Source organism: Homo sapiens, chromosome 5 (genome assembly GCF_000001405.40).
Source record: "Homo sapiens chromosome 5, GRCh38.p14 Primary Assembly".
In the NCBI taxonomy this organism is placed as follows: domain Eukaryota; kingdom Metazoa; phylum Chordata; class Mammalia; order Primates; family Hominidae; genus Homo; species Homo sapiens.
In genome coordinates this window covers 37349246-37376444 of record NC_000005.10, presented here as the reverse complement: position 1 = coordinate 37376444, position 27199 = coordinate 37349246, and the positions used below count along the sequence as shown (strand labels likewise).

At 42.9% G+C, this 27199-nt stretch overlaps 1 protein-coding gene across 6 annotated transcripts in view, besides 2 other annotated features; it reads left to right on the top strand.

The window, feature by feature from the left end:
• The window catches only part of NUP155 (nucleoporin 155), an 82970-nt gene continuing 61109 nt past the window's right edge, over positions 5339-27199 (top strand). For 5 of the 6 annotated variants that reach the window (NM_001278312.2, NM_153485.3, XM_047417934.1 and 2 more), the window contains exons 1-7: positions 5339-5624; positions 12061-12198; positions 12461-12557; positions 18294-18364; positions 23616-23708; positions 25089-25255; positions 26180-26285. In NM_001278312.2, the coding sequence (NP_001265241.1) occupies positions 5468-5624; positions 12061-12198; positions 12461-12557; positions 18294-18364; positions 23616-23708; positions 25089-25255; positions 26180-26285 (829 nt within the window). In that variant the 5' untranslated portion in view covers positions 5339-5467. Of the gene's footprint in view, positions 5780-12060; positions 12199-12460; positions 12558-18293; positions 18365-23615; positions 23709-25088; positions 25256-26179; positions 26286-27199 lie in introns of all 6 variants that reach the window. The other variant, NM_004298.4, reaches the window with a different exon arrangement.
• Positions 5347-5436: an enhancer, noted in NCBI's record as "active region_22487". NCBI's record gives its function as "activates an Ori minimal core promoter by ATAC-STARR-seq in GM12878 lymphoblastoid cells {active_cell/tissue: GM12878}" and the evidence as "EXISTENCE:reporter gene assay evidence [ECO:0000049][PMID:35858748]".
• Positions 5557-5666: an enhancer, noted in NCBI's record as "active region_22486". NCBI's record gives its function as "activates an Ori minimal core promoter by ATAC-STARR-seq in GM12878 lymphoblastoid cells {active_cell/tissue: GM12878}" and the evidence as "EXISTENCE:reporter gene assay evidence [ECO:0000049][PMID:35858748]".

The following is a 27199-nucleotide window of genomic DNA, read 5'->3' as shown; positions in this document are numbered from 1 at the left end:
TTACAGGCGTGGCCCACCACGCCCGGCCAAATTCTTACAATTTTATGTTGTCTTAGCATTTATTTTGAATATAAGTTGGACTTTCTCATATCAGAAACAGGGTTCAGTCACCCTTGACACCGTTTCTAGTTCTACACCTCCTCCCAGTTCCTCAATGTGATCAATCCAGGTATCTATTGTGTAAAACTTCCTCCTGGTGCCCGCCTCCCCATAGGATAAATACATACAGCCTACTTCACCGGCCCTGCTGACACTGACGTCCTACATGGACTGTGCAGATATGCCACAGTGACTACCTCGGTCACAGCATGACTTCCAAGAACGGGGTGTCCAATCTTTTGGCTTCCCTAGGCCACAATGGAAGAAGAAGAATTGTCTTGGGCAACACATTAAATACACTAACAACAGCTGAGAACTTTAAAAAAATCACAAATCTCACAATGTTTTAAGAAAGTTAACGAATTTGTGTTGGGCCACATTCAAAGCCATTCTGGGCTGACAAGCTTGTCCTCAAATTTGTGCATGCTTGCTTTAAACCCACCAATTAAAGTGTGGGAATTCCTCTTGGGAAATCTATTTGGAAAACACCATGAACCCAATAAATGCATTGGCTCATGAGTCCCTCTTTGTCTTTCCCTGACTGCATTCCTTGACCTCCAGGTGCGCCAGATGCCCCGCCAGGCATGTAAGTAATAAAATCTTTGTTTATATCTGTGTTTCTACTAATCATTGAAGAAGCATGCTCTATCTTAAAATTCCTAAATTAAAACAGTCCCTTAAAATAAATCAAGGCAGTAGGATTCAAAATGTTGTAGTAGTCACTGTATTTTTCAGTTACATAGGCGTTGTAAGCAAAATCAGTTTCCCTTAGGAATATCCTTAATAAAGCCATAAACAGTATTCATTTCGTTAAACCCTGACCCTTAATTATACGTCTTTTTAACCTTCAGTATGACAAAATGAGAAGTAATCATAAAGTATGTTTTTAAAAAAATTTCTTACAGATGGGGTCTCACTGTGTTACCCAGACTGGAGTGCAGTGGCTATTTACAAGTTCAGTCATGAAGCACTTTAGCCTCAAACTCCTGGACTCAAGCGATCTTCCCCTGCCTCAGCTTCCTGAGTAGATGGGACCACAGGCATACGCCACCATGCCCAGCTAATGCATATCTAAGTAGAATGGTCATCGAAAAGAAAACCACTTGTAATTGAGTGGTTAGCTTTTTTCATGGAACATTATTTTTACCTGAAAGAATGACTCACAAAGTACAGTTGTTCATATTTAAGTATTTGGCAAACATTTTTTCAAAAATAAATGAAATGAGTTTATCACTTTAAGAAAAACAGGTCAGGCATGGTGGCTTACACGGGTAATCCCAGCACTTTGGAAGCCGAGGTGGGAGGATCACCCAAGGCCAGGAGTTCGAGACCAGCCTGGCCAACATGGTGAAACCCCGTCTCTACTAAAAATACAGAAAATTAGCCAGGCGTAGCTGGGTGCGGTGGCTCACGTCTGTAATCCCAGCGCTTTGGGAGGCCAAGGCGGGTGGATCACCTGAGGTCAGGAGTTCAAGACCAGCCTGACCAACATAGTAAAACCCCCGTCTCTACTAAAAATACAAAAAAATGAGCTGGGCATGGTGGTATGTGCCTGTAATCCCAGCTACTCGGAAGGCTGAGGCAGAATTGCTTGAACCTGAGAGGCAGAGGTTGCAGTGAACAGAGATCATGCCACTGCACTCCAACCTGGGCAACAAGAGCAAAACTCCATCTCAAAAAAAAAAAATAAAGAAAAGAAAATTAGCCTGTAATTCCAGCTACTCAGGAGGCTGAAGCAGGAGGATTGCTTGAACCTGGGAGGCAGAGGTTGCAATGAGCTGAGATCGCACCATTGCACCCCAGCCTAGGCGACAAGAGCAAAACTCTGTTTAAAAAAAAAAAAAAACTGACTGCACTTGTTGACAATTATTAAAATACTTCTTCTTTTTCTAAATATGTAACTGAGGCCAGTTTTTCCTTCTTTCTTTCTTTCTTTTTTTTTGAGACAGAGTTTCGCTCTTGTAGCCCAGGCTGGAGTGCAATGGCACGATCTCAGCTCACTGCAACCTCCGCCTCCCAGGTTCGGGCAATTCCCCTGGCTTAGCCTCCCAAGTAGCCGGGATTACAGGCTTGCGCCACCATGCCCCACTGATTTTTGTATTTTTAGTAGAAACGGGGTTTCACCATGTTGGCCAGGCTAGTCTCGAACCTCTGACCTCAGGCAATCCACCCGCCTCGGCCTCCCAAAGTGCTGGGATTACAGGTGTGAGCCAGCGCGCCTGGTGAGGCCAGCTTTTCTTAATATTAATATATTATACTTCAACTAAATAAGTCACAAAATGTTGACATGTTAGACAAAGTAGCAAACATAAAAAACCAAGTTTGCTCATTCTGCTTGCCAGCAGAATTTCACAAAGCCCAACTCAGTGACTAAGTATAGACTTCTAGAAGAATGCCCTGGAAACAATAAGCAGGTTAGAGCACAGGTTCCCACGTCTCTTGCTTCAATCAATGCATTTTTTAAAAAAAGGTAAGTTCAGTGTTCCTACCCCTTGCCTCTTCCAGTACATAAGATAGTGTCCCATAGGATTCATGATTATGCCTCTGTAATCTATAACCAGATGTACTCTTACACCCAAACTTTGATGAGATTTTGCTCTAATGTAATTTATGAGCTTTTTTTTTTTTTTTTTTTTTTTTTTTTAGAGACAGAGTCTCCCTTTATCAACCAGACTAGAATGCAGTGGCATGGTCATGGCTCACTGCAACCTGGAACTCCTGGGCTAAAGTGATGCTCCTGCCTCAGCCCACCAAGTAGCTGGGACTACAGGTCCACACCTGGCTGCCCAGGTTGGTTTTGAATGCCTGGCCTCAAGAGACCCTCATGCATAGGCCTCTCAAAGTGCTAGAATTACAGGTGTGAGTCACTATACCCAGTTTATGAGCATGTTTAATGTAATTTCTGAGCACATGCAGAGCTTCCAACCCCTGACATGTAAGCTGTGGGCTAAAAGCTACTTTGGAGCAGTCTTAACAGAAACTCTCTGAAAGGTTGCAATCCTGAGTCTGAATCAAACTGACTTTAATTCTTTAAAAGAGGGTTATTTTTCTTCAATTGACAGCAGATACAGATATGAGAATCCAGCCATCCGTTACTGAGCCAGACACTAAAGAGATTTGCAAAAATATGAAATAATCGCATTCTTCTCCCTGTTTTAGAAACTATAGTGATTTCTCATTTTAAAAAAGTGTTATATTAACATGGATTAAGCTTGGTATGCTTTTTTTTTTTTTTTTTGAAACGGAGTCTTACTCTGTTGCCCAGGGTGGAGTGCAGTGGCACGATCTCGACTCACTGCAACCTCTGCCTCCTAGGTTCAAGTGATTCTCCTGGCTCAGCCTCCTGAACAGTTGAGACTACAGGCGCACGCCACCACGCCCAGCTAATTTTTGTATTTTAGTATAGACGGGGTTTCACCATATTGGCCAGGCTGGTCTCCAACTCCTGAACTTGTGATCCACCTGCCTTGGCCTCCCAAAGTGCTGGGTGCTGGGATTACAGGTGTGAGCCACTGTGCTCGGCCTTGTTACTCTTTTAAATACAATGTTAAACATTTTAATTTTCAGTTTGAGTTATTCACAAATATTAATAGATGTAACCAACATGAAACAAAAACTCTCTGGAATCCTGAATAATTTTTAAGGGTATCAAGGGGGTCCTAAGACCAAAAAAATTCATAATTATCTGTTCTAGGGAAGAGGTCAGCAAACTTTTCCTGTAAAGTGCCAGAGTCCGTATTTAAGGCTTTGCAGTCTTTTGTAGAAATTACTCGGTTTAGCAGTTGTAGTGGGAAAGCATAGGCAATATGCCAATGAATTAAGTTAGTTAGATTACACTTTGGGGAGCTTTACTTCTATGCAGGAATATCACAGCAACGTTGTTGAATCTTCCAATTTATGGAGTTGAAAACTTTGTGTATTTTGTCTCAAATTAAAAACAAACTCGGTGCCAGACCACCACTTTTCAATCTATGGTCTACCAAATAAAGTAAACTCACAGCTAGAGACCCAACTGCCTATCTATATACCAATGATAAAAAATCCAGTTTTTCTTGGTATATTGGCTATGTCAAATTTTAAGTGTAGATTGGTAACATCAAAGAACTTTCAATTTTCAGAAATGTAGTCAAGTCTTTGAGGGAGTAAAAATGTAATTCAAATAGCAAAAGACCAATTTAGAGTAATTCAGTTATTGATTTGTGAAATTCTGAAGAACATAACTGGAAGCTTTCTTAGGTGAGATTCTAAATAAGAGCAGCTTTCTAAAAAGTGCTTTGATTTACCCACTCAGGTTGCCTTCTGTAGTAAATGAAGCCTCTTTTACCTCTCTGCTTTCTCCTATCCTGCTATAGTTTATACCTATCCAAATAGAAAAATTATAATGAAGCCCTTTGTCTCTGCTTGAAGCACCTTAAGGACAGGAAACACTGTGTTAGTTTGATAGTCCCAGCACCAGGCACAAGGCAAGTATTCAGTTTCTTAGGATTGTATGAACTCTTGGGTTCCTATCTCATACGAGTTCCTATACTAGCGCTGGGAATGGAAAGATGAATTAGAACTGTCTGCTATCTCTGCCACGATAAAAAGCACGGCAGCGGTCCACCTGCACTCAGCTTCTTCTTAAACACGTATTTTATACTAAGGGGCAACAAAGTCAAAAGACAGCGACACGCAAATGGAAAAGCCTGATGAATTCTAATTTACACTGAAGCCCGCGAAGAATATAGTGAGATACTGGTTTATATCCCTCTCTGTGACAGCGACCTACCAATTCTTAACTACTCTCACAAAAGCAGTTACTTGGAGAACCAAACTGCGCGCTCATGCGCGAACTCATATAGCTGCAGTTAGCGGATACCGACGCGGGAAGTTCCAAGACTCAGGTCGAGCACGCGCTTAAACCAACGGAACCTGACCAACCTCCTAGGCCAGACACACGACCTAGCTCCCACCTACCGTATCCCTCCTCCCTCCTTCCTCCTCACCCTATCCAACCCCATCCCGCCCCTCTCCTTCCCTGTTCCCTCCCCTTTATCCTTCCCTTCCTTTCCCTCCCTCCCTTCCCTAAATAACCTACCCTAATTTTACCCTGCCACACCCCAAAACCCTCAACCCCCTCGAAAGCATCAGCAGCCTCCTAGCTCCACCCACAACCTCTAGCCCCCTCCCAACAGCTTCCTCTTCCCAGGCCAGAACGGCGTCTTCCAGTTCCCCACCGGATGAAGCGGAAGTGCGTCATGTCGAGGCGCCAAGGCGCTCGTTTGGCGCGCGCGCCCTAGGCGGCGGATCTAAGCTAACTTCTTGGATCTTTTCTTGTTTCTCCTTGGTTTTTGACTTTTTCTGGACCCTGGTGTCTACGATTTCCGAGATGCCGTCTTCTTTGTTGGGCGCGGCGATGCCGGCCTCTACATCTGCCGCAGCCCTGCAGGAAGCTCTGGAAAATGCTGGACGGCTCATCGACCGTCAGTTGCAAGAGGACCGCATGTACCCGGACCTTTCCGAGCTGCTTATGGTGTCTGCCCCAAGTGAGTGATAGTGACCCTGCTTTCTCAACCTAAAGGACTCTCGCCTGACTTCCTAATTTGCTACTTATCCCCAGCGTTGGTCCCGGCGAGGATATGCTGAGATTTATGGCACTGTTGGCTGCATTTTTGGAGAACAGCAAGCAGCTTCTTTTCAGGTTTTTTCCTTTCCTCACTTTCTTCATTGTAGATACTTGAGAGGGCAAGAGTGAAGAGCAAGCTCCCAGTTGAAGCAGAAAGAGGCAAAGACCTCAACCTTAATGAGCTTCTCGCCGCTCTCAAGTGCTTATGGCTAAGGCCATATGAGAAGCATCTCCAGATCCAAGTCCCAAATTTGTTCATTTCTCCTGTTAGTGTTTGAGTAGATCGTAAGAGCAAACGAAGTTAATTTGGAAATTTAGCATGTTATCTTAAAGATACGCTTTGCTTTATATTTATTTGTTTATTTATTGAGACGGAGCGGTTCCCTCTTCGCCCAGGCTGAAGTGCAATGGCGCGATCTCGGCTCATTGCAACCTCCGCCTCCTGGGTTCAAGCGATTCTTCTGCCTCAGACTCCCAAGTAGCTGAGATTACAGGCGCCTGCCACCAAGCCCGGCTAATTTTTGTGTTTTTTAAGTAGAGACGGGGTTTCACCATATTGGCCTGGCTGGTCACGAACTCTGACCTCAAGTGATCCGCCCGCCTCGGCCTCCCAAAGTGCTGGGATTACAGGCGCAAGCCACTGCACCCGGCCAAGAAACGCTTTATTATGTGTAGAGATGTGTGTTATGAAATGCTGGAGGATCTTAAAAGAACTACCAGTGGAATAAAGAAAGAGAACAGGGAAATCACAGTGCTTATGTACAGGGAGAGTAAGGCAGAATATGTGTTGACAATATAGGTGACTGGAAAGTAATTTGTTTAACAGTTTTAAGTTATAACCAGCTCCCCACGGCTTATGGAATTACATCAGTTGCTAGAAAAAGTGACCCCTTTGTGAGATGGAATTTGGAGAAAACCAGCGAAGTGTAAGAAAGAAAAGATTGTTGGTGAGCAAGAACCAAAGTAATCTAAATAGGATAATTTGTGCAGTGTAAACCGAGAACACTTCTGATTATTTATAAAAATCATTGATAGCTTTGTAATCAAAGAAATGATAGAAACAAAGATAGTATTTGCTCCCTACAGCTACTTACCAATGAGCGTGTCTTATAATACCTGATTGGCCTATTAGCAATTATCATCTTGAACAACATTACTCATTTTGGCCTCCTTAGGTGTGAAAACAAGATATAAAAACAGTGCATGCATTCTGGTCCTTCTCTTACATATCTCATGCCTTTACACACACCTTCCTCTTTCACCCAGTCTCTTCCCCTTCTTTTCCATCCAATTTTTCATCCGTTGCTCTGATTACAGAGAATTTAGCATATTTTCCGTAAGAAGCCCCATCTTCAGGATTTCCTCAGGATTTTATCTTACTTTTATTGTTTCTGCAATGTTCTTTTTTTGCCTGACAAACTTTTTCCAGACTCCCTGTGAAAGTCCTTAGTTTCTCTTTGTTGTCTTTCTTTTTCTTGTTCTTTTTTTTTGAGTCAAGGTCTAGTTCTGTTACCAGGCTGGAGTGCAGTGGCATGATCACAGCTCATTGCAGCCTCTAACTCATGAGCTCAAGTGGTCCTCCCGCCTTGCCCTCCCCAGTAGCTGGGACTACAGGCGCCTGCCACCACACCCAGCTAATTTTTAATTTTTATGTAGAGACGTAGTCTCACTCTGTTACAAGGCTGGTCTCAAATTCCTGGCATCAAGCAGTCCTCCTACCTCAGCCTTCCAAAGTGCTGAGATTACAGATGTAAGTCACACTCCTGGCCTGAAGTCTTTCGTAGCATTCCCATCCTCACTAAAGTTATCGATTCCTCCCTCTGTGTTCCCACTGCCATTTAACATGGTGATCTGCCACCTTCGGCCTATTAAAGTTATGTTTTAGGATTAAATGGGATGTCTGGATTTGCTTTATTTATTTATTTTTTGAGACAGAGTCTTACTGTCACCCAGCCTGGAGTGCAGTTGGCATAATCTTGGCTCACTACGGCCTCCACCTCCCAGGTTCAAGCGATGCTCCTGCCTCAGCCTCCTGAGTAGCTGGGATCATAGGTGTTCGCCACTGGCTCATTTTTCTATTTTTAGTAGAGACAGGGTTTCACCGTGTTGGCCAGGTTGGTCTTGATCTCCTGACCTCATGTGATCCGCCCGCCTCGGCCTCCCAAAGTGTTGGGATTACAGGTGTCACCCACTGTGCCCAGCCTGGATTTGCTTTAATATGAATTCAGCCCAATAGTCTCAGCACTTTGGGAGGCCAAAGTGGGCAGATTACTTGAGCCCAGAAGTTTGAGACCAGTCTTGGCAATATGGCAAAACCCAGCCTCTTAAAGAAAAGAAATACAATAATACAAAAATTAGCTTGGCATGGTGACACACACTTGGACCCCCAGCTACTTGGGAGGCTGAGGTGGGAGGATAACTTGAGACGGGGAGGTTGAGACTGCAGGGAGCTGTGATTGCGCCGCTGCACTCCAGCCTGGGCAACAGAGTGAGACCCTGTCTCAAAAAAAAAAAAAAAAAAAAAAAAAAAAGGCCTGGCGCTGTGCCTCATGCCTGTAATCCTAGCAATTTGGGACCTGGAAGTGGGGTGGATCACTTGAGCTTGAGTTTGAGACCAGCCTGAGTGAGCAACATGGCAAAACCCTGTCTCTACAAAAAGTGGCTGGGTGCGGTGGCTCACGCCCATAATCCCAGCACTTTGGGAGGCTGAGGTGGCAGATCACGAGGTTAGGAGTTCAAGACCAGCCTGACCAACGTGGTAAAACCCCGTCTCTACTAAAAATACAAAAATTAGCTGGGTGTGGTGGCTCATGGCTGTAATCCCAGTTATTCAGGAGGCTGAGGCAGGACAATCGCTTGAACCAGGGAGGCGGAAGTTGCAGTGAGCCGAGATCGCGCCACTGTACTCCAGCCAGGGCAATAGAGGGAGACTCTTTCTCAAAAGAAATGGGAGGCCCAGGTGGGCGGATCACGAGGTCAGGAGATGAGACCATCCTGGCTAACATGGTGAAACCCCCATCTCTACTAAAAATACAAAATAATTAGCCGGGCGTGGTGGCGGGCGCCTATAGTCCCAGCTACTCCGGAGGCTGAGACAGGAGAATGGTGTGAACCCGGGAGGCGGAGCTTGCAGTGAGCCGAGATCGCGCCACTGCATTCCAGCCTGGGCGACAGAGTGAGACTCCGTCTCAAAAAAAAAAAAAAAGGAAAAAGAAAAATGCTGTTTGGCTGGGCTCGGTGGTTTACTCCTGTAATCTCAGCAATTTGGGAGGCAAAGGTGAGTGGATCACTTGAGGTCAGGAGTTTGAGACTAGCCTGGCCATCATGGCGAAATCCTGTCTCTACTAAAAATACAAAAATTAGCCGGGTGTGGTGGCACACTCCTGTAGTCCTGGCATCTCGGGAGGCTGAGGCAGGAGAATCTCTTGAACCTGGGAGGCAGAGGTTGCAGTGAGCCGCCATTGCACTACAGCCTGGGCGACAGAGCGAGAGCCCATCCCAAAAAAAAACCCCAAAAACAAAAAAAAAATTAGCTAGGCATGGTGTCATGACACTGTAGTCCTAGCTACTCACGAGGCTGTGGTGGAAGATTGCTTGAGCCCAAGAGGCTGAGGTTGCCCTGAGCTGTGATTGCACCACTGCATTCCAGCCAAGGCGACAGAGTGAAACCCCGTCTCAGGAAAAAAAAAAAAAGAGAAAAAGAGTTCGGCCGGGTGCAGTGGCTCACATCTGTAATCCCAGCACTTTGGGAGGCCAAGGCAGGCGGATTACGAGGTCAAGAGATTGAGACCGGCCGGGCACGGTGGCTCACGCCTGTAATCCCAGCACTTTGGGAGGCCGAAGCGGGCAGATCACGAGGTCGGGAGATCGAGACCATCCTGGCTAACACGGTGACACCCCGTCTCTACTAAAAATAAAAAAATTAGCCTGGCGTGGCAACAGGCGCCTGTAGTCCCAGCTACTTGGGAGGCTGAGACAGAAGAATGGCCTGAACCCAGGTGGTGGAGCTTGCAGTGAGCTGAGATCAGGCCACTGCACTCCAGCCTGTGAGACTCCGTCTCAAAAAAAAAAAAAAAAAGATTGAGACTATCCTGGCCAACATGGTGAAACCTTGTCTCTATTAAAACTACAAAAATTAGCTGGGCGTGGTGGCTCATGCCTGTAATCCCAGCTACCCGGGAGTCTGAGGCAGGAGAATCCCTTGAACCAGGGAATTGGAGGTTGCAGTGAGCTGAGATCGCGCCAATGCACTCTAGCTTGGCGTCAGAGCGAGACTCCGTCTCAAAAAATAAAAATAAAAAGATAATTGGGGAAGGAGTGAACAATGATAAAAATGAAACATGATTGGGGATATTACTGGTTATTAAGTTGGATAATCAGTACATGGGTATTTATTGTATTTTTCTTATATATATTTTAAAAATTTCCATAATACACTTCAAGATTGTTTTATATGTCAGTTTTCCTTAACATCTTTGTACTCTATAGAACCTGAGAAAGTGCCTGAGATAAGTAGGTCATCAGTCAGGTCTAAATAACGCCTTGTCCGGGAGCAAGGGTAGGCTGAGTAGACCAGCCCACTCCTGTCCTTAGTGATGGAGTCTTAGAGCAAGAGAAAGGTTGCCCATGAGAACACTTTATAGAGCAGTCTTTGTTTTTATCCCCCCAATAAGATACTGCTTGTGGGGTATTATTTGTATTTGTCTTAGTGGTCTTGGGGATAAATCTAAAGGGAAAAGTCATGGGTTGTTTTAATCTATAAATGTTTAGCTGGTAAAGGCAGTATTTTCCCCCAGTCATTATTTTGTTTGCTTATAGTCATTTTACCTTTGAGCCCCAAAGCAGTTTTATATTTTCCCATTTCAGATTAGCAAAATGATAGAAAAACACTAAATTATTATTTTTAAATTTTTTTATTTTTAATTTTGTGTGTACATAGTAGGCGTCTGTGTGTGTGTGTGTGTGTGTGTGTGTGTGTGTGTGTGTGTATATATATATATATTTTTTTTTTTTTTTTTTTTTTTTTTCTCCCCGAGACAGAGTCTTGCTCTGTCACCCTGGCTGGAGTGCAGTGGCACGATCTTGGCTCACTGCTGCCTCCGCCTCCCAGGTTCAAGCAGTTCTCCTGCCTCAGCCTCCCAAGTAGCTGGGATTATAGGTGCTTGCTACTGTGCCTGGCTAATTTTTTTGTATTTTTAGTGGAGACAGGGTTTCACCATTTTGGCCAGGCTGGTCTTGAACTCCTGACCTTGTGATCGGCTTGCCTCTGCCTCCCAAAGTGCTGGGATTACAGGCGTGAGCTACCGCGCCCAACGGTGTATATATTTATGTGGTGCATGAGATGTTTTGATACAGGCATGCAATGTGAAATGATCACATCAGGGAAAATGGGGTATCTATCCTCTCAAGCATTTATCCTTTGTGTTACAAACAATACAATTACATGCTTTCATTTTGTTTATTTATTTATTTATTTATTTTTGAGACAGAGTCTTGCCCTGTCGCTCAGGCTGGAATGCAATGACACAATCTCAGCTCACTGCAACTTCCGCCTCCCGGGTTCAAGCAGTTCTGCCTCAGCCTCCGCAGTAGCTGGGATTATAGGCGCACGCCACCAGGCAGGCTAATTTTTTGTGTCTTTAGTAGAGATGGAGTTTCACCATGTTGGCCAGGCTAGTCTCAAACTCCTGACCTCATGATCCTCCTACCTCGGCCTCCCAAAGTGCTAGGATTACAGGCTTGAGCCACTGCGCCCAGCCACTTTTATTTTAAAATAACACTAAATTATCAAATTTAAACATTTCCAGCTGGGCACGGTGGCTCACACCTGTAATCCTAGCCTTTTGGGAGGCCGAGGCGGGCGGATCATGAGGTCAGGAGATCAAGACCAGCCTGGCTAACACGGTGAAACCCCGTTTCTACTAAAAATACAAAAAATTAGCCGGGTGTGGTGGCGGACGCCTGTAGTCTCAGCTACTTGGGAGACTGAGGCAGGAGAATGGCGTGAACCCGGGAGGTGGAGCTTGCAGTGAGCCGAGATTGTGCCACTGCACTCCAGCCTGGGCGACAGTGCGAGACTCTATCTCAAAAAAAAAAAAAATAAAATAAAATAAACATTTCCTTTGTTACAGAGCAAGTTTTTTGAGATATGACTTTCCCTTTAGGCCTGAAACCAGTAACTGTTCCTACCTTCACAAGGGAATATTTCAGGACTACTTTGTGTTGGGTCAAAACTAGAATATTCTCTCTGTACCTTTGGAACCAACACACAACAATTTTTTTGTGGCACTCAATCCTTTTGTTTGCCCGGTTGATGAGCAGTACATTATTATAAATACTTCATTTTCTTTTTGTAGATAATCCCACCGTTTCTGGCATGTCAGATATGGATTATCCTTTGCAAGGACCTGGTTTGCTGTCCGTACCCAACCTTCCAGAGATCAGTTCCATCCGAAGAGTTCCTCTCCCACCTGAACTTGTTGAGCAGTTTGGACGTATCCTATTACTTTGTATTTATTTTAAAAATGTTAAAATTGGTATTTTTCATTCTTATAATTCTTGTTCTATGTTTAATTAATGTGTTATATATTCATTTAAGGGTTTTATTTAAAATTCGTTTAAGTATATGGGTTCCATGTTGTATTAAAGAGTGGACACATTGTGATTTTTTACGTAAATATTAAGTCAAAAGCTATTGAAACAAGTTAAAGAAGAATAAGATTCACCTCTGTCTGCCTTACATCCACACTACCTCAGATATGCAGTGTAATTGCATGATGGGTGTGTTCCCTCCTATCAGCAGAGCTTGGCTCACAATTGACAGTGATATATTCATGTGGAACTATGAGGATGGGTATGTATTTAAGGCTGGTTTGCTTTAAGGGTGATTGGAATTTATATAAACTTTACTGTAGCTAGTGTTCTCATTAGAAGCTGCTTGGTTTATCTTTCATTCATCTAGCCTTTGGGTCAGTGCTTCTCAGTATCAGTCATCTGGAGATGTTCAAATGTGCATTCTGTCTTAGTAGTCCTGAGTGAGGCTCAAGAGTCTGCATTTCTAACAAGCTGCCAACTGCTGCTGCTGGTTTAGGTGCCATTCTTGAGTGGCAGGAGCCCGGGTCCCAAGCTGTTAGCCCGTAGTAAAAATAGATGTTGGCAATTCATTGAGAGATGATTGGACATTTTTAAAGACTTCTGTTTTCCTTGCATTTCTATGGAGTAGGCATGTGATATTTATTTATTTTGTTGTCATTTTGTGAATTTGACCCGTGTGTAAATTATATGTATAGAAATGATTCTGAGTGAAAGCCTAAGGTACTTTTGCTTAAATACAGCATGTTGGTCTGGTGATCTCCCTGTTGACTTTTTAGAGATAGATTTTGTTTTACTTCCAGTTGTCCATTACATTATCCTTAGATGAGGTGTGGGATAAACATAGGAAAGCCCATATAATTAAGATGTTACTCTTGTTCCTGAGTAATTAATGATCTTTTTAGGAACACACGTGCATTAAAAAGACACTGTATCGGCCGAGCACGCTGACTCAAACGCCTATAATCCCAGCACTTTGGGAGGCTGAGGTGGGTGGATCACCTGAGGTCAGGAGTCCGAGACCAGCCTGGCCAACATGGAGAAACCCTGTCTCTACTAAAAATACAAAAATTAGCCAAGTGTGGTGGCACATGCCTGTAGTCCCAGCCACTCGGGAGCTGAGGCAGGAGAATTGCTTGAACCTGGGAGATGGAGGTTGCAGTGAGCTGAGATAGTGCCACTGCACTCCAGCCTGAGTGACAGAGCGAGACTCCATCTCAGAAACAACAACAACAAAACACTGTATTATTGAAACAAAATTGAAACTAAATGACAGCTTAACACCTATAGCTTAAACGAAACCATTTTTTTCTACTAGAAGTTTCGTAGCAATTTTTCATGTTGAAATGTAATAGTTGTAATAGCAGTGATGTATGATTGTGATTATTTTTCATGTACCCTGAATGTTCCCCACTTTGTTATGTTACCATAACATATTCATTTTTATACTAAATAATGAAACCTTTTTTGTTTAGGTATGTATCTTTTCAAGAGAAGTCATTGCAAAAATATTACAGAACAGATAAATGTGAGAATAATTGTTTTCTTTAAAATATGTTTTCGGCTGGGCATGGTGGCTCATGCCTGTAATCCCAGCACTTTAGGAGGCCAAGGCAGGCAGATCACCTGCAGTCGGGAGTTCGAGACCAGCCTGACCAACATGGAGAAAGCCCATCTCTACTAAAAATACAAAATTAGCCTGGCATGGTGGCACATGCCTGTAATCGCAGCTACTCGGGAGGCTGAGGCAGGAGAATCACTTGAACCTGGGAGGCGGAGGTTGTGGTGAGCCGAGATCGCGCCATTGCACTCCAGCCTGGGCAACAAGAGGGAAAACTCCATCTCAAAAAAAAAAAAACACTAATGAAATTTTTTACATTTCCATTAACATCCAACATATTTATTTAACACATACATATTGATCTTATGTATCTGACACTGTTGTTGTGGTAGGAACAGTACTGAATGAGATGAATGTAGTTCTGCCCTCATGGAACAAACAGTCCTACCTTACTGTGTGTCTTAGTCCGAGCTGCTAAAACAGAATACCATAGCCTGTGATCAACATGAATTTCTTTCTCATGGTTCTGGAAGCTGGAAGTCCAAGATCAAGGTCTGGTGAAAGCCCACTTCAATGTTCATAGATGGCTATCTTTTCACTCTGTCCTCACATGGCAGAGGGGTAGGGGAGTTCTTTGGGTCCTCTTTTATAAGGGCACTAATCCCATTCATGAGATATACCCTCATGACCTAATAACCTTTCAAAGACCCCACCTACAAATACTATCACATTAAGAGTTAGGATTTAATATGAATTTTAGGAGGACACAGATATTTGATCCATAGCAGTGTGTGTTCATTTAAAGAAAAATTATTTGAAGAATGTACTTATTTTAAAAAATCAAGGCACAAGGTCCACAAATTCAATTTTGTAAAATTTATACTTAGTTTAAATATTCAATTGGCTTTCTATTATAAATCCTAATTCCACCTGGATGATAAAAATGTAATCTTGGTCATTTCATTGTTCTCTAACCCCCAAATATCTCAGCATTGGATCGTAGTTCCAAGAGGCTGTGCCAGTTATCAAAGGGCCCTGTGGAATGGCATGATGTAAGAGGATGGGGAATCCTAGTCCGCATAAGTTGCCATTTAGCTATTTTGTTCCTGTGTGGATGGCCTTTTCAGGATGACTGGAAGCTTTCTTGAAAGTCTAGATCATATTTTTTCGTGGTATTTTTTCTGCTTCTTGTTCTCTGAGCTTCTTAGATCTTTAGTTTGATGTCTTCTATTATTTTTAGAATTTTTTTCAGCTGTTATCTTTATTTCTCTCTCTCTCTCTCCTTTTCTGTTCAGCCATTGTCTTTTTTTTTTTTTTTTTTTTGAGACAGAGTCTCGCTCTGTCGCCCAGGCTGGAGTGCAGTGGACTATCTTGGTTCACTGCAACCTCCACCTCCTGGGTTCAAGCACTTCTTGCCTCAGCCTCTGGAGTAGCTGGGACTACAGGTATGGGCCACCACACCTGGCTAATTTTTGTATTGTTATTAGAGATGGGGTTTCACTATATTGACTAGGCTGGTCTTGAACTCCTGGCCTCCAGTGATTTGCCCTCCTGGGCCTCCCAAAGTGCTGGGATTACAAGCATGAGCCACCGCACCCAGCCCAGCCATTATCTTGAAATATTCTGATACATTCTCTTTCTTCAGAAATTTCAGCTATACTTTTGTTATATACCTCATTTTGGATGCTCCATTCTGTTTTTTGTTTTTCCACTTTCTGTCTCTATCTCCCTGTTTTTTGGGAGACGGAGTCTCAAAGTGCTGGGATTACAGGTGTAAGCCACTGCGCCTGGACCCCCCCCCCTTTTTTTTTATCTCATTCCGTTGCTGAGGCTGGAGTGCAGTGGCATGATCTCGGCTCACTGCAGCCTCAACCTCCTGGGTTCAAGTGATTCTCCTGCCTCAGCCTCCCGAGTAACTGGGATTATAGGCATGCACCACCACACCCGGCTAATTTTTGTATTTTTAGTGGAGACGGAGTTTCACCGGGTTGGGCAAGCTGGTCTCGAATTCCTGACCTCAGGTGACCTGCCCACCTCAGCCTCCCAAAGTGCTGGGATTACAAGCGTAAGCCACCGCACTTGGCCTTCATTGGCTTTTTTTTTTGAGACTGAGTCTCATTCTGTTGCCCAGGCTGGAGTGCAGTGGCAAGATCTTGGCTGACTGCAACCTTCTCCTCCCTGGTTCAAGTAATTCCCCTGCCTCAGCCTCCTGAGTAGCTGGGAATACAAGCGTGTGCCACCATGGCCAGCTAATTTTTTTTTGTATTTTAGTAGAGACGGGGTTTCACCATGTTGGCCAGGACGGTCTCGATCTCCTGACCTCGTGATCCACCCGCCTCAGCCTCCCAAAATGCTGGGGATTACAGGCGTGAGCCACCACACCCAGCCTCGCTGACTTCTTATAATTTTTATCTTTTTGTCGAAATTCTTTACCTATTTTTTTTTGTCTGTTTTATTTCTCCCTTTTTTTTGAGACAGAGTCTCGCTCTGTTGCCCAGGCTTGAGTGCAGTGGTATCATCTTGCCTCACTGCAACCTCCACCTCCCAGGTTCAAGTGATTTTCATGCCTCAGCCTCCGGAGTAGCTGGGATTACAGGCCTGGGACACCATGCCTGGCTAATTTTTTCTATTTTTAGTAGAAACAGGTATCATTGTGTTGGCCAGGCTGGTCTTGAACTCATGGCCTCAAGTGATCCACACGTCTCAACCTCCCAACTTTACCTATTTGTACATATAGTCAATTAGGTAATTTTTCCTATATAAAGCCTATATGTATAGTTCATAGTTACTTTACATTTCTTGTCTGATAGTTTGGATTCATAGCTGAGTCTGGTTCTATTGATTACTTTGTTTCTTGACACTGGGGTTTTTTTTCTTGTTATTTTGTGTCTCATGATTTCTTATTGAAAGCCAGAAATCATGTTAAGACAGTAGATACTGTAAGTAAGTAGCAAGTGGTATTTATTCTTAGAAATGGGCATGTCTTTTCCTTGGCTAAGGTATAGCAGATCTTTATTATATGGGGAATTGCCTTTTTCCAGGTCAGGACTTGAGCTGGATTTGGGTTCTGTTGTTGTACTTAGGGTGCAAGTTGGTTTACTGGAGATTTTTTCTCAGTGTTCCTCTTACATCCTCAGTCTTAGGCTCTTCCTGTGATTCCATCCTTGTAAGATGGCCCTCTTCTTACCCTTATCCCTGCCCCAGCAGTAGATTGCTATTACTTGATGTGCAGCCCTGTTGTGGAGATGTTTGGAATGGGGAGCAGCATTTTCTATTTTTGTATTTCCCTATTTTTCTAGTTCATCCTTAGCCATAAGCAGGTCTGGATCCCTGGGTCTTGGAACTGAAACAGTTTTCTTTGCTTGTTTATTTTTTCATTATATATATAATGAAAAATATTTTTATATATTCAATATATATAAAATGAAAAAGTTATATATATATATAAATTTTTCATAAAGACCAAGTCTCACTGTGTTTCCCAGGGTCTTGAACTCTCCTGGGCTCCTGCCTCACCCTCCCAAAGTGCTGAGATTACAGGCATGAGCCACCTCTCCCAGTCTTTTTTTTTTTTGAGACGGAGTCTCGTTCTCTAGCCAGGCTGGAGTGCAGTGGTGTGATCTCGGCTCACTGCAACTCTGCCTCCCGGGTTCAAGTGATTCTCCTGCCTCACCCTCCCGAGTAGCTGGGACCACAGGCGTGCGCCACCATGCCGGGCTAATTTTTTGTATTTTAGTAGAGACGGGGTTTCACCACATTGGCCAGGATGGCCTCAATCTCCTGACCTTGTGATTCGCCCACCCCGGCCTCCCAAAGTGCTGGGTTTACAGGTGTGAGCCACTGTGCCCACCCAGTCTTTTCATTATATTCTGTGTCTAAATTTATTTAACTAATAAAGAGCATTCAGGAGTTCAACACTAGCCTGGGCAATATGGCCAAACCTTGTCTCTACAAAAAATACAAAAATTAGCCAGGTGTGAAGTGGAGATTGCAGTGAGCCAAGATTGTGCCACTGCACTTCAGCCTGGGTGACAGAGCTGGACCTTGTCTCAAAAATAATAGTAATAATAATAATAAAGATCATTGTAAGATAATACTTGGTTTTCTGTTTTTCTTTTCTTTTCTTTTTTGAGACAGGCTCTCACTTTGTCACCCAGGCTGGAGTGCAGTGGCATGATCACTACTCACTGCAGCCTCAACCTCCCAGGCCTTTGCGATCCTGCCAACTCAGTGGCCTCACACCCCCATGCCTGGCTAATTTTTTGTTTCTTTTTTGTAGAGACAGTCTCACTATGTTGCCCAGGCTGGTCTTGAACTTCTGGGCTCAGGCAGTCCTCCTGCCTCAGACTCCCAAAGTACTGGGATTAAAGACATGAGCCACCACATCTGGCCTATTTGCTTTATATGTGTAACATGTTTTTCTTCATTTATTCACAGAGGAGACCTTGCCTATTTTGATGGACTTAGTGAGACTATTCTTGCTGTGGGGCTTGTGAAGCCAAAAGCAGGTAAGAAATAAAACTATAAGGAAGAGATTATGTTTGTATATGTAAACTCCAAATGGTATAGACCTGAACAACAACACACATTTTTTTCGAGATGGAGTCTCGTTCCATCGAGTAGGCTGGAGTGCAGTGGCGCAATCTTGGCTCACTGCAATCTCCGCCTCCTGGGTTCAAGCAGTTCTCCTGCCTCAGCCTCCCGAATAGCTGGGATTACGGGCGTGCGCCACCACACCCAGCTAATTTTTGTATTTTTAGTAGAGACGGGGCTCCGCCATGTTGGCCAGGCTGGTCTCAACTCCTGACCTCAGGTGATCCGCCCGCCTCAGCCTCCCAAAGTGCTGGGATTACAGATGTAAGCCACCGCGCCTGGCTGACAACACCCTTTTTTAAACAATTGTATTCTCCATTGAAGTTTTATTTTGAATTCTAATTAGAAATATGTAAAGTGATTATTAATGTTTAACTGTTTACTTTAATGGTATAAGTGACACTGCCTTTAAAAATGTTAAACTGTAATTTTTTGAATTTTATTTTATTTGCTTTTTACTGCTCTTTCTTGATATACCTGAAGGTTTTGCACTATAGATTTTTCATTAATTGCTGAATTTAATGTTAAGAAAAATTTTAGTGTCTGCATTTTATTAGTCTGTCTTTCTCTTTTTTTTTTTTTTTTTTTTTTTTTTTGAGATTAAGGTCTTATACTCTATCACCCGGGCTGGAGTGCAGTGGCATGATCATGGCTCACTACAGCCTCAACCTCCCAGGCTCAGGAGACCCTCCCACCTCAGCCTCCCAAGTAGCTGGGACTACAGTTTTGTGCTACCACACCAGGCTAATTTTTGTAGAGATGGGGTTTTGCCATGTTGCCCAGGCTGGTCTTGAACTCCTGTGCTCAAGCAATCCACCCACCTCAGGGATGCTGGGTTAACACTTGTGAGCCACTGCACCTGGCCATTTTTTTAGTCTTTTTCTTTTTTGAGACAGAGTCTCGCTCTGTTGCCCAGGCTGGAGTGCAGTGGCGTGATCTCCGCTCACAGCAGCCTCCGCCTCCCAGGATTGAGCGATTCTCTTGCCTCAGCCTTCCAAGTAGCTGGGATTACAGGCATGTGCCACCATGCCCAGCTAATTTTTATATTTTTAGTAGAGCAGGGTTTTGCCATGTTGGCCAGGCTGGTTTTGAACTGTTGACCTCAGGTGATTTGCCTACCTTGGCCTCCCAATGTGCTGGGATTACAGGCGTGAGCCGCCGTGCCCTGGCCATATTCTTGATGGCCCGTGGAAGTGAGAACAGAGTTTAGAGTAAATCTTAGAAACGTCACAAGCATTGTTTAACTTATTGTTTCACCCTCATAATGCCAAATCTCTTATCAGGGTTACTGAGAAGGAGAATTGATTGATTTAAATTTAAAATATATCCTTTAAATGTACCTTTCTTTTTTTTTCTGTTACAGAGTCTCACTCTGTTGCCCAGGCTAGAGTGCAGTTTAGCCACCTTGGTGCTCACTGCAGTCTCGCCTCCTGAGTTCAAGCGATTCTCCTGCCTCAGCCTCTCAAGTAGCTGGGATTATAAACGCATGTCACCACGCCTAATTTTTATATTTTTAGTAGAGACAGGGTTTCGCCATGTTGGCCATGCTGGTTTCGAACTCCTGACCTCAGGTGATCCTCCCACATCGGTCTCCCAAAGTGCTGGTATTATAGGCATGAGCTGCCATGCCCTGGCCATAATCCTGATAGCCCATGGAAGTGAGAACAGAGTTCAGAGTAAATTAAATCTTGTAGATATCACAAGCATTGTTTGACTTACTCTTTCACCCTCATAATGCCAAATCTCTATTTTTTTTTTTTTTTTTTGAGATGGAATTTTGCTCTTGTTGCCCAGGCTGGAGTGTAATGGCGTGATCTCGGCTCACCGCACCCTCCGCCTCCTGGGTTCAAGCGATTCTCCTGCCTCAGCCTCCCAAGTAGCTGGGATTACAGGCATGCACCACCACGCTTGGCTAATTTTATATTTTTAGTAGAGATGGGAATTCTCCATGTTGGTCGGGCTGGTCTTGAACTCCCGACCTCAGGTGATCCGCCCACCTCGGCCTCCCAAAGTGTTTGGGATTACAGACGTGAGCCACCATGCCCAGCATAATGCCAAATCTCTTATCAGAGTTACTAGGAAGGAGAATTGATTGATTTAAATTTAAAATATATTCTTGGCTGGACATGGTGGCTTGAGCCTGTAATCCCAGCACTTTGGGAGGCCAAGGTGGGTGGATCATGAGGTCAGGAGATCGAGACCATCCTGACTAACACAGTGAAACCCCATCTGTACTAAAAATACAAAAAATTAGCTGGGCTTGGTGGTGGTCGCCTGTAGTCCCAGCTACTTGGGAGGCTGAGGCAGGAGAATTGTGTGAACCTGGGAGGTGGAGCGTGCAGTGAGCCAAGATCACGCCACTGCACTCCAGCCTGGGCAACAGAGTGAGACATCGCCTCTGAAAAACAAACAAACAAACAAACAAATAAATAAATATATATATATATACACACACACACACATTCTTTAACCGTACTTTTTTTTTTTTGAAACAGTGTCTCACTGTCACCCAGGCTGGAGTACAGTGGAGTCACCTTGGTGCTCACTACAACCTCCGCCTCCTGGGTTTAAGCGATTCTCCTGCCTCAGGCTCCTGAGTAGCTGGAATTTCAGGCATGTGCCACCATTCCCGGCTAATTTTTGTATTTTTAGTAGCATGTGGTTTGGCCATGTTGTCCAGGCTAGTCTTTTAACACCTGGCCTCAAGCGATCCGCCCACCTTGGCCTCTCAAAGTCCTGGTATTACAGATGTGAGCCACTGTGCAGCCAAATGTACCTTTTTATAGGAGGAAATAATAGACAAAAATTACTTTTTTGCAAGGCCTAAGTGAAATTTTTTAAGATTATGGCCATTTTGCAATTATAGATACTCAGTTAAGTAAAAACAGACTTCTTTTTTTTTTTGAGATGGAGTCTCATTCTGTCGCCCAGGCTGGAGTGCAATGGCACGATCTCGGCTCACTGCAACCTCCGCCTCCCGGGTTCAAGCGATTCTTCTGCCTCAGCCTCCCGAGTAGCTGGGATTACAGGCGCCCGCCAGCAGGCCCGGCTAATTTTTGTATTTTTAGTAGAGACAGGGTTTCACCATGTTGGTCAGGCTGGTCTCGAACTCCTGACCTCAAGTGATCCGCCCGTCTCTGCCTCTCAAAGTGCTGAGATTACAGGCGTGAGCCACCACGCCCAGCCCAAACCGACATTTTATACACTATTTATTTACTTGCATTGAAAATATATTTTCAGGCTGGGTGTGGTGGCTCACACCTGTAATCCCAGCACTTTGTGAGGCTGAGGCGAGCAGATCACCTGAGTCTGAGACTTCAAGACCAGCCTGGGCAACATGGTGATACCCTGTCTGCAAAAAACAGAAACATAAGCCAGGCATGGTGGTGCATGCCTGTAGTCCCAGCTATTCATGAGGCTGAAGCGGGAGGATCGCTTGAGCATAGGAGGACAAGGCTGCAGTAAGCCTTGATTCTGCCACTGCACTCCAGCCTGGGCAGCAGAGCAAGACCCTGTCTCAAAAAAAAAAAAAAAAAAAGAAGAAATAAAGACACTGGGTGCGTTGGTTCACGCCTGTAATCCCAGCACTTTGGGAGGCTGGGGCGGGTGGATCAACTGACGTCAGGAATTCGAGACAAGCCTGACCACATGGTGAAACCGTGTCTCTACTAAAAATACAAAATAAGCTGGGCATGGTGCCATATGCCTGTAATCTCACCTACTCGGGAGGCTGAGGCAGGAGGATCACTTGAACCCGGGAGGCAGAGGTTATAGTGAGCCGAGATCGAGCCACTGCACTCCAGCCTGGGCAACAAGAGTGAAACTCTGTCTCAAAAAGAAAAGCAAAGCAAATGTATGTCCTTTACATAGAATCTAAAAGAGATGCATTAAGTGTATAAATATTGCTATATACTATTATCAAGGTTGTAATCTTTTCTTGTGTAGATAACTATAGGTGTAAGTTTTATTTTCTAAAATTGTCTAGCTTTTATTTGCATTTCAAAATGAAATCTATTATATATATTTTAATTGTGGTAAAATACACATAATACAAACTTTGCCATCTTAACTGTTTTTAAGCCTATACTTCAGTGGTATTAAGTCCATTCACGTTATTGTGTAAACTTCACCACCATCTATATCTAGAACTCTGTATTTTGTAAAATGGAAACTGTACCTATTAACTAAAAACTCCTGTTCCTCCTTCCCTCAGCAGTTGGTAGTAACCATTCCACTTTTTGTCTGTAAGAATTTGACTATTCTAGGTTTCCTCATATAAATGGAATCATATGGTACTATATTGGTCATTTTGTGACTGGCTCATTTTATTTAACCTATGTCCTCAAGGTTCATCTGTGTTACAGCATGCATCAGAACATTTTTCCTTTTATGTTTTTATTTTTTTATTTTTTTTGAGATGGAGTCTCACTCTGTCGTCCAGACTGGGGTGTAATGGCGTGATCTCGGCTCACTGCAACCCCTGCCTCCCGGGTTCAAGCAATTCTCCTGCCTCAGCCTCTCAAGTAGCTGGTACTACAGGCACGTGCCACCACACTCGGCTAATTTTTTGTTTTTAGTAGAGATGGGGTTTCACCATGTTGGCCAGGCTGGTCTCAAACTCCTGACCTCAGGTGATTTGCCTGCCTCAGCCTCCCATGGGATTACAGGCGTGCCCGGCCAACTTTCTTACTTTTTAAAGTTCAGTAGTATTCCATTTTGTGTGTGTGTGTGTATATATATATATGTCATTTTTTTTAATGCATCTATCGATGGACACTTGGATTTTGTTTTCACCTTTTAGTTATTGTGAAAAACACTGCTATGAACATGGGTATACAAATATACATCTCTATATTTTAATATATTTAAACTATTTTGTAATATAACACTTTTAAAATAGCATTAAATACTGAAGTGATTGTTTTCTAAGGTGGTTCTTTTCCACTGCTATTAACTTTTTTTCCTCTTCATTATCTTGATGACATTCAAAATTTACTTATTTAAATGATCATACATAATAATATTTTTAACAACAGAATTGACTAAACTGCATCCAGACTTTTCATATACCATTTAATTAGTAGCTCACTTTAATGGTAATAAAAGCTTACTCTGTTAGTGCTTAAATGCTGAAAGTATTCCTGCCCTGTGTCTACTTTATCTTAGGCATCTTTCAACCTCATGTGCGACACCTCCTGGTTTTGGCGACCCCTGTAGACATAGTAATTCTTGGACTCAGCTATGCTAATTTGCAAACAGGTATGGCAACCCACATGTTAACGTTTTTTAAAATAATAGTATTTTGGCCAATTGATATTACAGTTAAAAGCTAATCTGGGTGAAATGTTGAATTCCATTGACTCACATTAATGATTATTACTGCCAAATCCTCAGGCTCTTTTCCACAAGTTAACATTGGGTTAGTTTTTTGTTTTGTTTTGTTTTGTTTTGTTTTTTGAGACGGATTTTCGCTCTTGTTGCCCAGGCTGCAGTGCAATGGCGTGATCTTGGCTTACCGCATCCTCTGCCTCCCAGGCTCAAGTGATTCTCCTGCTTCAGTCTCTTGAGTTGCTGGGATTACAGGCATGCACCACCATACCCGGCTAATTTTGTTTTTTTGTTTGTTTGTTTGTTTTTGATAAGGGAGTCTTGCACTGTCGCCCGGGCTGGAGTGTAGTGGTGCAATCTTGGCTCAGTGCAACCTCTGCCTCCCAGGTTCAAGCGATTCTCCTGCCTCAGCCTCCCAAGTAGCTGGGATTACAGGCACCCACTACCACACCCAGCTAATTTTTTTGTATTTTTAGTAGAGACAGGGTTTTACTGTGTTGGCCAGGCTGTTCTTGAACTCCTGACCTCGTGATCCACCTGCCTTGGCCTCCCAAAGTGCTGGGATTACAGGCGTGAGCCACTGTGCCCGGCCTAATTTTGTATTTTTAGAAGAGACGGGGTGTCTTCATGTTGGTCAGGCTGGTCTTGAACTGCCGACCTCAGGTGATCTGCCCACCTGGGCCTCCCAAAGTGCTGGGATTACAGGCATGAGCCACGGCACCCGGCCGGGTTAGTTTCTTGTTTATTATCTTACTATATAATAAACACACAGGCACACACACACACACACACACACTCACACACTCTGCAGGTTCTGTTTAACTTGAATTATCAAATTGTATCAGACTTCTTTTAGTAATTTTAAAATGTATATTATAGAAGCTGTTGACTATGTTAATTGTCAGTAAGAATTGAGTAAGGCTGGGTATGGTGGCTCTTGCCTGTAATCTTAGCACTCTGGGAGGCCGAGGCAGGCGGATCACGAGATCAGGAGATCGAGACCATCCTGGCTAACACGGTGAAACCTTGCCTCTACTAAAAATACAAAAAAAAATTAGCTGGGCATGGTGGCGGGCGCCTGTAGTCCCAGCTACTCGGGAGGCTGAGGCAGGAGAATGGCATGAACCCGGGAGGTAGAGCTTGCAGTGAGCTGAGATCGGGCCACTGCACCCAGCCTGGGTGACAGAGTAAGACTGTCTCAAGAAAAAAAAAAAAGAATTGAGTAAACATATAGATTCTGATGATAATGCAAAGATTTTTAAAAACTGTGGAGTAGCTAATAAACTGATTTATGTATTCTTTCTTAAATAGGTTCTGGAGTTCTTAATGATAGTTTGTCTGGTGGAATGCAGTTGCTTCCAGATCCTTTATATTCTCTTCCTACTGATAATACTTACCTTTTAACAATAACTTCCACTGATAATGGCAGAATTTTCTTGGCTGGAAAGGATGGCTGTTTATATGAAGTAGCCTACCAGGTAAGTCTGACATTTGTAAACGTTTTTTTTTCTCTCTTGATGGAGTAGGGAAAGATAAGCCTTTATTTTGTTTTCTAATTATATAAGGACATTAATATATTTTTATGGTAAATATTCAAGCATACAGTTGAAGCTGTAGTCCCCATGACTACACCATGCCTACAAAACTCAGCCCTCAGAGGTAAAAGTCATTATTCTATGTATGTCCTCGTGGAACATAAGGCACACATCAATGTCTCTATAGATATCTATGCATATGTGTTTGTGTGTATATACACATATACAAATACAAAATGCACTTTTGCAAATATGTGTTTTCACTTGGATTATTGATTTAATTCGTAATTGCTTTTTTTTTTTTTTTTTTTTTAAATGTGATGGAGTCTCACTGTATCACCCAGGTCTATCACCCAGGCTGGAATGCAGTGGCTGAATCTTAGCTCACTGCAACCTCCATCCCCTGGGTTTAAGCAGTTCTCCTGCCTCAGCCTCCCAATAGCTGGGATTACAGGTGTGCACCACCACATCCAGCTAATTTTTGTGTTTTTATTAGAGGCAGAGTTTCATCATGTTGGCTAGGCTGGTCTCGAACTCCTGACCTCAAATGATCCACCTGCCTTGGCCTCCCAAAGTGCTAGGATTTACAGGTGCGAGCCACTGTGCCCAGCCCATAACTGGCTTTTCATCTAACAGTATGTCTTGAAATTCTTTCCTTGTCAGTATTTGGTTGATATTTTAAATTATGGGCTAAACTCAGTAGTTAATTTTGAATAATATGTCTCGTTTTGTTGATTATAACTGGTATTAGTGATTATAACTGGTATTTCATGAAGATTTGAAGGTTTTTATAAATATGGATATACAGTAGTTATTGTAAGGGAGTTACATACTTTTATAAGTCGTCTTTCTACTTTTTTCTTTAAGGCTGAAGCAGGGTGGTTTAGCCAAAGATGTAGGAAAATAAACCACTCAAAGAGCTCACTTTCTTTCCTTGTTCCTTCCTTGCTACAATTCACGTTCTCAGAAGATGGTAAGTAGAAAACAATAAATTTGGCAAGTACAACTAATTTCTAACACATTGTTCCCTCAACGTTTTCTTCAGAAATTATCATTCTTAATTGAAACAATTTGTTATGTTAAGTAGCATTTCTTATATATTCATAAGGTCTTTTAAAGGGTAAGGAGATCATAACCTAGAGAAAGTGTGGATTTTGTTCTCAAGTTTACTTATTTCCTATAAATGTAGCATCAAAGAACTTGCGTCTAAAACAGCTGTACATAATTAAACCAAAATATGTGTATGTATGTGAGAGAGACAGACATTCAGACAGCTAATACATTGTTTGCTTGGTCTAGAACAAATTTCCAGTATAAAAAGAATATATCTTAGCTTTTAATGAACTGAGAGATTTCAACAGGTGAAATAATTTTTAAAATGCTTTGGCAAAATAAGATCTGTATACCCAAAGATTAATATGACTGAATTTTAAAATTATTTTCTTTCACACAATCAATTAGGCCAAACTGGAAGTTTCTTAACATAAAGGACCAGGTATACTTATTCTGTGTTTCTAGGATGTAGTAAACATTCATTAATGTTTAAATAACTTAGAATTTATTTTCTAAGTTATTTCATGAAAAAATAACTTAGAATTTGTTTTCAGTTTGGCTTAAAATTCATTTAGAGGACAAAATAACTTACTTTCTATGCTCATAACCCAGTCACAGTATTTAGCATGTGTTTTTTTCATGTGTTGTCTGACCAAAATGCTTTTTGGACTGGATCTTATGCAAACATCCTAGGATTTAACTACAAAGCAAGAGAGTAGAAAGCCCCTGAATACAAAGTTCTGATTCAACAGTTTGTTGTAACTAGCTAATGTATTTGCTTTGTTAATCCTTGGGTTTACTTTTTTCTCTTTTTTTTTTTTGTCTTACTTTTAG